At 45.0% G+C, this 10,203-nt stretch overlaps 1 protein-coding gene and 1 long non-coding RNA gene across 8 annotated transcripts in view, besides 4 other annotated features; one reads left to right on the top strand and one right to left on the bottom strand.

Moving 5' to 3' along the window:
• Window positions 1-1,254: 1,254 nt before the first annotated feature.
• BAZ1A-AS1 (BAZ1A antisense RNA 1) lies at window positions 1,255-3,527 on the bottom strand. The gene has a single exon (NR_160776.1). It is a non-coding gene; the product is annotated as a BAZ1A antisense RNA 1 (long non-coding RNA).
• The window catches only part of BAZ1A (bromodomain adjacent to zinc finger domain 1A), a 122,630-nt gene continuing 114,784 nt past the window's right edge, over window positions 2,358-10,203 (top strand). For 3 of the 7 annotated variants that reach the window (XR_007063978.1, XM_047430887.1, XM_024449460.2), the window contains exons 1-2: window positions 2,358-2,849; window positions 3,056-3,226. Coding sequence is in view for 6 of the 7 variants with exons in the window: in XM_047430887.1 (XP_047286843.1) it covers window positions 3,114-3,226 (113 nt within the window). In the remaining variant the exon portion in view is untranslated. Of the gene's footprint in view, window positions 2,850-3,055; window positions 3,227-4,805; window positions 6,326-10,203 lie in introns of those variants that run through there. The other 4 variants (NM_182648.2, NM_013448.3, XM_047430889.1 and 1 more) reach the window with 3 other exon arrangements.
• Window positions 2,460-2,559: a silencer, noted in NCBI's record as "silent region_5672". NCBI's record gives its function as "represses an Ori minimal core promoter by ATAC-STARR-seq in GM12878 lymphoblastoid cells {active_cell/tissue: GM12878}" and the evidence as "EXISTENCE:reporter gene assay evidence [ECO:0000049][PMID:35858748]".
• Window positions 2,660-2,979: a silencer, noted in NCBI's record as "silent region_5671". NCBI's record gives its function as "represses an Ori minimal core promoter by ATAC-STARR-seq in GM12878 lymphoblastoid cells {active_cell/tissue: GM12878}" and the evidence as "EXISTENCE:reporter gene assay evidence [ECO:0000049][PMID:35858748]".
• Window positions 3,030-3,139: a silencer, noted in NCBI's record as "silent region_5670". NCBI's record gives its function as "represses an Ori minimal core promoter by ATAC-STARR-seq in GM12878 lymphoblastoid cells {active_cell/tissue: GM12878}" and the evidence as "EXISTENCE:reporter gene assay evidence [ECO:0000049][PMID:35858748]".
• Window positions 3,310-3,669: a silencer, noted in NCBI's record as "silent region_5669". NCBI's record gives its function as "represses an Ori minimal core promoter by ATAC-STARR-seq in GM12878 lymphoblastoid cells {active_cell/tissue: GM12878}" and the evidence as "EXISTENCE:reporter gene assay evidence [ECO:0000049][PMID:35858748]".

Raw genomic sequence — 10,203 nt, 5'->3', positions numbered from 1 at the left:
ATAACAATGAACAACTGTATAACATTCATTAAATGCCACAAATCATTAAAATAAACCATATGTATATAATTCAGAGAAATAAGTTATGATAGTATTGAAATTTGAGTATGATCGTGAGAAAACTGAGCATGATAGCTTTTGATGGAATAGAATAAAATTTTAAGCTAGTATAAGAAAAAACCCAACTTAAATATTTGTATTTAATAATAAAATAACGACTTTTGATCATGATTTGAATGACTTATTGAACAGTAAGATCTAATAAATATAAATACTGACGTATTCAGAAAGAATTTCATCTTTATTTAGCTTAATTGTTAAATTGGGATTTTGAGTTGTGAGGGTGATGCTTCAATATAGCTTGAAAATTATCCATTTTCCCAATCCCCCTTTTGAGTTTACCTTTGTGGGCTCTAAATTTTTCACCTGGTAGATCAATAAATACTTTTTTTTTTTTTTTTTTTTTTTTTTTTTTTTTGAGACGGAGTCTCTGTCGCCCAGGCTGGAGCGCAGTGGCGCCATCTCGGCTCAGGACAACCTCCGCCTCCTGCCTCAGCCTCCCGAGCAGCTGGGATTACAGGCACCCAGCGCCATGCCCAGCTAATTTTTTACTTTTAGTGGAGACAGGGTTTCACCATGTTGGCCAGCATGGTCTCAACCTCCTAACCTCATGATCCGGCCGCCTTGGCCTCCCAAAGTGTTGGGATTACAGGCATGAGCCACCGCGCCCGGCCCAATAAATACTTTCTAGGCAGGGAATTCTAACTTGTCACTCAGTATACTAGTTGGAGACAGGTTTAAAACACCAAATCTTGGCCGGGCGCGGTAGCTCACGCCTGTAATCCCAGCACTTTGGGAGGCCAAGGCTGGCGGATCACCTGAGATCGGGAGTTTGAGACCACCCTGGCCAACATGGTGAAACCCCGTCTCTACTGAAAATACAAAAATTAGCTGGACGTGGTGGTGTGCGCCTGTAATCCCAGCTACTTGGGAGGCTGAGGCAGGAGAATCGCTTGAACTCAGGAGGTAGAGGTTGCAGTGAGCCGAGATCGTGCCACCGCACTCCAGCCTGGGGGACAGAGTGAGACTCTGTCTCAAAAAAAAAAAAAAAATTAAATCTGTAAACTCTTATTTGAAGAGTTAACCGATACTAAAGTATATACTTACTACTTACAGGAGCATTTCCAAACTTCTGTGACTTCTGTACAGTAAGGTGCATTCATAGTATTAATGAAATTTAAAACACCCAAAGAATAACGCCTTTCACAAATGTTTATTTTGCTAGGTGTATGAACAGTTAAAGCCAGCCTGAAAGATAAAAAATACTAACTCTTGATTTCGATTTCTTACATTTTCTGCTCCAAAGTACAAAGGAACTTAAATTTGAAGTTATAAAACGGATCCCACATTGTTTCTGTAATTATCATTTCGCAGTATTGGTAATAGGAATAACATCTTTGTCGAATAACCATTCCTAAAACTTACTTTTAGACTCATTCTTACATATTAATTTGCAAATAAGCAAATGTTAAGGACAGTATCAAAAAAGACTTTAAAACACATCTAGTGAACGTTCTGAGTTACTTCTAGTTTCGAAAATTCTATTGAATTCCAAGGTCACATGTATTATGTACATTAAACTTGTTTCCCTAAATAAAAGTTACTGATATGGGAAAGTTGCTTTAGGGGAATTTTCGCTAGTAAATCCATAATCCTTAAAATTCTAAGTGAATTAAACATTGATACTTTGCAAATATTTACAGCAGTGTAAATATTACTTTTTAAAGGTGCGTTAGTTTCAAGAATGCTGGGGTCCTACAAGCATGATGACACTTTGTAACACATACTTTTTTTTTGGTCTTTTCCTCTGCTTTCTAAATCTCTTAATTGCCATAAGTATTAAATAGAACTGATGTCAAGGTATCTTCTGTTCAAGATGGATGTTTACTAAACATGCAAAGTATTTTTAGAGATATAGATTCTAATTTGGAAGAAGAAAAATAGCAACAAATTTTCTTATTCATTTCTTTTCTCATCTTTAAAATACAAGTTAAATCGTAATTGGAATCCCTTTTCCCATCGTGTAGTCAAGAGTCTGTGCCAGACTTGAAGGCTTTACTTTGTTAGCCATGTGTTTATGAACCCCCAGCGCTTTCCCTAGATCTTTTGGCTGATAATCTCAAACATGGAGGATGCTTCTGAATCTTCACGAGGGGTTGCTCCATTAATTAATAATGTAGTTCTCCCAGGCTCTCCGCTGTCTCTTCCTGTATCAGTGACAGGCTGTAAAAGTCATCGAGTAGCCAATAAAAAGGTAGAAGCGAGGAGTGAAAAGCTCCTCCCAACAGCTCTTCCTCCTTCAGAGCCGAAAGTAGATCAGAAACTTCCCAGGAGCTCCGAGAGGCGGGGAAGTGGCGGTGGGACGCAATTCCCCGCGCGGAGTCGGGCAGTGGCAGCGGGAGAAGCGGCAGCCAGGGGCGCGGCGGGGCCGGAGAGAGGCGGTCCCCTGGGAGGACGGGGTCTCCCCTCGTTGCCTTTGTAGTGGAGAAGGTGGACAAGTGGCAGTCGGCGTGATCGCAGGTGAGGGTCGCTCGGGAGCCGGCCGGCGCCGGCGGGGAAGTGGAGGCGAGCCGGGAACAAAGCGGAGCAGCTCCGGGGTCCGCCCGCGGCGAGCGCTCTGGCGGCGTTGGGCTGGCCGGCCGGCCAGCTGCGCGCCGAGCACGTTGTGAGCCTGGCGGCGGCGGCGGGCGAGGAGCCGGCGCTGGGGGAGGGGGCCGCCGCCGCTCCCGCACTGCCCCCCGCGGCGGGGCGTCCTGCCCCATTGTGAGGCGGCGGCAGGACGAGAGGAGGTAGGGCGCGCTCGGGGGGCAGGGGCGGCGGCGGCTCCGCTCGCTCGACACCCGGGCAGCGGCAGGAACGAACTCGGCTCCGGTAGCGGCCGCGGCGCGTCAGTCACACAAAAGGCAGCCGAGCTTCTCCCAGCGCGCGGACCGGCCCACGCTGCCGCCGAGGGCTCCCCACCTTACCGGCTTTCCTTTCCCTCCAATTTTGATAGGGAAGCGGGGCCGGCGCGGGCGGCCGAGGGTCCAGGCGAGCCCGCGGGCGGACGGGAGATGCCGCTGCTACACCGAAAGCCGTTTGTGAGACAGAAGCCGCCCGCGGACCTGCGGCCCGACGAGGAAGTTTTCTACTGTAAAGTCACCAACGAGATCTTCCGCCACTACGAGTAAGAGCCGGGCCGTGTGCGGGGCCGCGGGGGGTGTGGGGACTCCCCCCGCAGCGCTCTTTTGTCTCTCTCCTTTTCCTCGCCCTGGGCTTCTGGCGGGGCGACTTGAAAGTGACGGGTGGCCCCCGGGCCCGCGGTTCTCTGCCTCCTGGCCTCCACCTGGAGAACGCGCGGGGCCAACTGGCGGCGGCGCGCGTGGGGAACGCGGGTTGGTAGTGGCGGAGGAGGCTGGGTCCCTGGCCGGCCTCGGGGACCGCTCCTAGCCGCTGCTGTCGCCCTCCCGCCCTCTTGGCCGCGGGGCGGCGGAAACTCCCCGCCTCGCCCCTCCCCGCCGCGGCCACACGCGCACTCCGGGGCCAGTTCCGGGATCCCCTCCCGGCGGCCGAGGGGATCCCCGCTAGGGTCAGCGACGTGGGGCCGCAGTCCCTGGGCCGGGGAAGGGAATTCCTGCCCCGGTGGGCAGGAAACGACTGGGCTGGGCTTCGTTTTCTCAGTCGGGAGTGGGGTCTGACGTTGGAGCTGCCTGGGGTAGGGGAGAGAGGAGCGGAGTTGAGACTCGCTCTAGAAGGGAAGGAGGGGGCGTCCCTACGGGCCAGGGGTGGAGGGCGCGGGACGCGAGAGCCTCCGTCCGCGGCCTCCCGTCCGGCGCTGCTAGGCCTCGGAGTGCGACGCGAGCCGCGCTCTCTGTCACCGCCTCTTCTTGGTGACTAACTCGTCTCCGGGGAACTCAGCGTCTCCGCCCCCGGGAGATCAGTGAGGAAGAAGTCGCGGCTGGGCAAGGGGAAGAGGAAGGGGGAAGAAGCAGGGCCTTGGGCGCCCCTCGTTTTCACTTTCGCATAGCCGGGAAGCGCGGTGGAGGTTGTTGGGGGAGGGGGTTAAGACAAGTTCAACTCCAGACTCAGCCAGGCGCCGCTTTATCCCCCTGCGCATGTGGGCTGCCTGACATGTGCCACTCGCTATTGTTTTGATAAGAACGCGGAGCTGCTGGTGTAGTTACAGCTCCTACATTTTCAGCCCGTCGCTTAATTTATCCCAAGAGATCTAGTCCTGTGACACGGAGCAAGGGGGTGTGTTTTAGCGTCTTGTGTTTAAACAGGATCTCTAAGTGAGAACCTGACTTGATCAATCACTCGAAGAGGGTGATCCTCTCTTTTTCTTATGCTTTATCCTCTGCACTCAAAAGGAGTCCCTTTGTGGCTTGCAAACCAAGTGTAATAGCAACCAAGTAACGTCGCGTGTAAGGAGGCACCTTTTCTGAGTGGGGGCTTGATCAAGGGAGGGTTTTGGGCAAACTGTACCTGTCTAAGAAATGAATAGTGAGGTTAGAAAAGTTCCTTTGAGCATTTATTTTAAGTAAACCTTTTTCTTCAGCTCCACAGAAAGGGTTACACGTTAAACATGTTATATCCAGAGAAGTAGAGTACTTTTCGTCAGACAGTACTTTTAAGTAGGAGTGCACATCTCGCTCTGCTCCTGTAGAGACTTGTTTTGTTACTCAAATAGAGTTCTCGTAACTAGTTAAGTGAACTTGGATTAGGTAATTGGACAAGTTTTTTTTTTTTTTTTTTTTTTTTTTTTAGGATTTTAAAGCTACAGGCCTTGCTAACAATTACGATAAAAAAAAAACTAAGAGTATCAACAAAATAGTAAATAGGCTTAAATTTCAAACTGCTTTCTCCTTCCACGTAAGCAGTCTTTTAAAGAGGCTTTTCTCACTTTTAGAGGGTAGGATGAATATGACTGTTATCCTTTGTGAATTAAACACTCTTAAGGCACTTTGGTTCTTGAGCTGAATTATTCTAACCATGGAGAAATCTGAATTGCTGAAATACAGATTTTTCGCATTCCAGAACTATCTGTCTTCCATTATTTTTATTTATTTACTTATTTTGAGACAGGTTCTCGCTCTGTCGCCCAGGCTGGAGTGCAGTGGCACAATCTTGGCTCACTGCAGCCTCCACCTCGTGGGCTCAAACAATCCCCCCCCACCTTACCACCTTAGCCTCCTGAGTGTGGGATTGCAGGTGCATGCCACCACTCTGGCTAATTTTTGTATTTTCATAGACGGGGTTTCGTCGTGTTGCCCAGGCTGGTCTTGAACTCCTGAGTTCAAGTGATCTGCCTGCCTTGGTCTCCCAAAGTGCTAGAATTATAGGCGTGAACCACCAAGCCTAGTCTTATCTTCCATTAATATTAAGGAATTGTATCCTTTGTAGTCTTAGGGCATTTAAACATTTTAAATAACTAGGTTTTTATTTTCAATTTTTGTTTTTTCCCTTATGCTGAAGTGTTTGGGCTTTTGGAAATTACAAGCAGTCCCAGAGAGATTACTGGTTTGGGAGCAAAGGTATTTGACCATTTACCCTGAATTAAGGAGTATTGCTGATGTTCTTAGGTTTCTATGACTGAACGGAAATAATTTTGACAAAATTGGAAGAAGACTGCCATTTAATCATGTTACATTTTGAATTACTTTCTGTTTCTCGCAAATGATTACAAAGAGATCTTTCCAAAAATGCATTTGTGGTACGTGGATATGGTGGTCTGTAGTATGGTAACCTGACCTTTGGAACAACTCTGGAAAAACTATGACGGAAACCTCTGCAGGCTGCTCTTTTTTTGAGACGGAGTCTCACCCTGTCGCCCAGGCTGGAGTGCAGTGGTGCCATCTCGGCTCACTGCAACCTCTGCCTCCCGGGTTCAAGCATTCTCTGCCTCAGCCTCCCGAGTAGCTGGAATTACAGGAGCCTGCCACCACGCCCAGCTAATTTTTGTATTTTTAGTAGAGACGGGGTTTCATCATGTTGGCCAGAATGGTCTGGATCTCCTGACCTCAGGTGATCCACCTGCCTCGGCCTCCCGAAGTGTTGGGATTACAGGCGTGAGCCACCGCACTTGGCCTGTGCCTCACATTTTGTCTTCTCCAAGAACCTGAACTCTTTGAGACAGTGACTGGCCAGGATGCATCCTCAGTGATTATGTAGCAGAAGCTCCTTACTACATTCTCCTTAACTAATTGCTAACTCTTGATTGACCTGCTTTTTCATAGGTAAAGAAGACTCAATAGCACATCAACTATAGACAAATGCGTAAGCTAAGGTGCATAATGTAGTCTCTTAAATACGATTTATTCTGGCTGCATGCGGTGGCTCATGCCTATAATCCAAACATTTTGGGAGGTTGAGGTGGGAGGATCACTTGAGGCCAAGAGTTTGAGATCAGCCAGGTCAAAATAGTAAGACCTTGTTTCTACAAAAATAAAAATATTCTTTAATTTTGGCTAGCCGACAACAATTTTGTTTATTTTTGCTGTGGATTGTTAAAAAATGGAACAGGTCTGAATACAGAATTTCTTGACTTGTGGGATAGGAAAATGATTTGTTGTATTACCTAGTGACTTAATCTCATAAATAAAATAACTTTTTTTTTAGCCATGTAGACACTTGGAATATATTTCCCATCTTTGAGTGAGTTCAGCCTTCAATATAAAATGTATAACTCTCTTCCACAACATCACTAACAGGTGGTCCAAATTATGTTTCACACTGGCTTTTCATTGGAAGAGGTTTAACTAGCTTACAAGGCATCCTGTTTTCATTGTTCATCTGCTCTCCCTTGTTAATAAGTCAGTCCTTTCAACAGCCTCCTTTTACAGGTGAGGAAACAAGTTGGGGTGGGGAGTAAATCCAAGATTACGGTGTCCAAAATTATTTTTCTAGTAACTGATAATGCTAGACTCTAACATCAATTATTCTAGCATTTATGCTCTTTTTACTGTTTATCACATAGTGCTTATTATGGAAAATTCTTCCTGATATCTGTTGAAGTATGCATTAAGAAAATAGGGGCATTGCCTGGAATTTAAACTGGCTGCCTAGATCTTTGTGTAGATACCACTCTGTACTGTCTGCTTAGACATTTGGCTTTTTACTATACCCCAAGTGATTAAGCTCTAGGTATTCAATGGACATATCAGAACATCATCAATTTATAGTAGGGAAGAATGTCTTTCATACTGACCAATTCCTATACTAATGGTCAGTTATGTGTGAAATCTAGTTATAATCAAAGGCTATTTGGTGAGCATGGGGTTTTCAAAGGAAGTTGGATAATTTTCTTAGCTAGTGTCTTTAAATGAGATGTTTAGCTCCTTTTTAAGGAATAAGCCTGCCGTATTGTCCTGATACTTGGATCCATGAGTCCTTTTTTCCTGGATGGTATAGCAGAGATTCCTAAATGCTTTACTTTTTGAATTTTATCTTTTGTCTACTTAGCAGACACGTACTTAGTTTCAGATGTTTTAAATACATTTTTTCTTCAGACAATACATTGATCAGTTACTGCAATATTGTAGGTTGTAGTAACAACCTACCCCAAAACTTGGTGGCTCAAAATAACAACCCATTTTATTTGCTCACTATTCTGTGGATTGCCAATTTGTTTTCTGCTGGTTTCCTCTGGGCTCACTCACTTAGCTGCAGTCAGCTGGAGGCTAGGCTGAGGCAGGTTGGAGTAAGAGCCTCAGTCACAGGTCTGGGAACTCAGCTGGGATGGTTTTAGTTACCGTGTGGTCTTTCAACCTCAGAAAGAGGCTGTTTCACATGGTGGTCTTAGAGTTTCAAGAGGGTGAGAATGGAAGTCACTCAATATCATTTCTTTATTATTTTGGTCAAAACAGATTACAAGGTCAGCCCAGATTCAAGAGGTCATGAAATAGACTCCAGCTCTTGGTGAGAAGAGCATGAATGTCATATTTCAAAGGAGCCTGCACACCTTTAGACCTCTTTGCAAACAGTCTACCACAAGCAGTTGCTACAATTTTATAGTTGGGTCATCCTGATTGGATTTTGTGTGTTCACTGATAGTCTAATATATGTTATCCATCAAAACACAATGAAAACCATCCTAAGAACTTGTGGACCTGCCTTGTTGTTTGCCCCATACTACCTATAACAATGATTCAAAAACTCTTTCTTCCTAGAATTTCTGTTGTTTCCTACACTTGCCCTCAGGAGCTGACAAGAAGAAATATCTTCAGATGTTTGAGATAGTTCTGTCTCTTTCTGCTCCCCTTCCAAATGTCTAACTTTCTCTCTTGAAAACATGAGTTTTTCTGACATTGTTTCTCTACCATACTGGTTATTCTTCTAGGATCTCTCTGCACATGTGGTACCTGAACAATAAGAATTGATAATATTTATTGAGTGCACTTACATTTTAGGGGCATTTGCTAAGAATTATCTGATTTTATGTTATGTTATGTTATTTATTTATTTATTTATTTTGAGACGGAGTCTGGCCCTACCACCCAGGCTAGAGTGCAGTCATGAGATCTCGGCTCACTGCAAACTCCGCCTCCCGGGTTCATGCCATTCTCCTGCCTCAGCCTCCCGAGCAGCTGGGACTACAGGCATATGCCACCAAGCCTGGCTAATTTTTTTGTATTTTTAGTAGAGACGAGGTTTCACCGTGTTAGCCAGGATGGTCTCGATCTCCCGAGATCGAGTATATATATACATATATAATATATACGTATATATTATGTATATATATACATGTATTATACACACACACACACACACACACACACACATACATACTTACATACATAGAGAGAATGAGTGTGTTTTGGCCCCTAAGTAGAGTACACTTTGTTTTTATCTGAATTGTACTTTGTTTCTGTTTTTTTTTGAGACGGAGTCTCACTGTGTCGCCCAGGCTGGAGTGCAGTGGCTCCATCTCGGCTCACTGCAACCTCTGCCACCCTGGTTCAAGCGATTCTCCCACCTCAGCGTCCCGAGTAGCTAGGATTACAGGCTCCTGACACCGTGCCCAGCTAATTTTTGAATTTTTACTAGAGACGGAGTTTCACCATCTTGGCTATGCTGGTCTTGACCTCCTGACTTGTGATCCACCCGCCTCGGCCTCCCAAAGTGCTGGGATTACAGGCGTGAGTCACGGCACCCGGCCTAGTTTCTGATTTTTATGTCACAATTTAATCTTCCCCTACTAGGTTTTTAGTTTTTTAGTTTTCCCAATACCCAACAAATTAATAGTATGTTGCACTTTGTTCCTCAGTTTGTTCGCCAGAGTGTTGGTTGACTTCATATTACAGGTGCGTTCTTAAGAAAGTCCCTTGTAACTCAGCAACTTTTCCTTATGAAATAATGGTAAAGAGGAGGGGTCATCAAATTTTTTCCGCAAAGGGCCAGATAATCAGTATTTCAGGCTTTGCTTGGCCATAGGGTCTCTTGTACCTATCCAACTGTGCAAATGTAGTGAGAAAGCAGTTATTGACAACACCTAAAAATACAGGTATAGTTGTGTTCCCCAAAAAATCTACAAAAACAGGTGGAGGGCAGGGTTTGGTCTCTGTGCCAGTAGGATGCCCACCTTTAGTGAAGAGGATGATTGAAAGAGCGCAGTCATAAATCTGACATTAATAACCTGTATTAGCCTAAATTTACATTCATATAAAAATACTTTGTATGTTATCATTTTTGCTTATAGTAGTAAAATGTATTTCTTGTAAGTTTCGTTAGTTACATTCTTAATAATGTAGAAATTGAAGAGGCATTGTAACCAACCCCCTAGAATTCAGTATTAACAAATTCTGCACATTTAAATGTGTATGATAAATGGGTAAAGTGTGAGCAGAATTACAGAAGTGGGAGAAAGTGAAGGTGTGTAATGTTAGAGATGGTGCTGTGCTGTTAGGGGGTTATGAGTAGGGGAGAGATGACCCTTGGACTTTTCTCCCTTAAATTGGCCACTGTGGTAGCATGTCCTGCCTCCTTAGGGTAAGTCTTTGTGAACAGTGAAGCTATAATGTAACAATAACTTTGTAGAGTAAATAGACACAAAGGAAACAAATGGCACAAACATTTTGTAGGAGATAGTAGAAACCTTGGGATATAAAAGGGCAGCTATACATCACTGGTTGTGGCATTTGTGCCATTGCTGTTCTTGGTATTTTT

The sequence above is a fragment of the Homo sapiens genome, chromosome 14 (genome assembly GCF_000001405.40).
Source record: "Homo sapiens chromosome 14, GRCh38.p14 Primary Assembly".
Lineage (NCBI taxonomy): Eukaryota > Metazoa > Chordata > Mammalia > Primates > Hominidae > Homo > Homo sapiens.
Note: the sequence above shows the minus strand (reverse complement) of the source record. Positions and strands in the feature narration are given on the sequence as shown.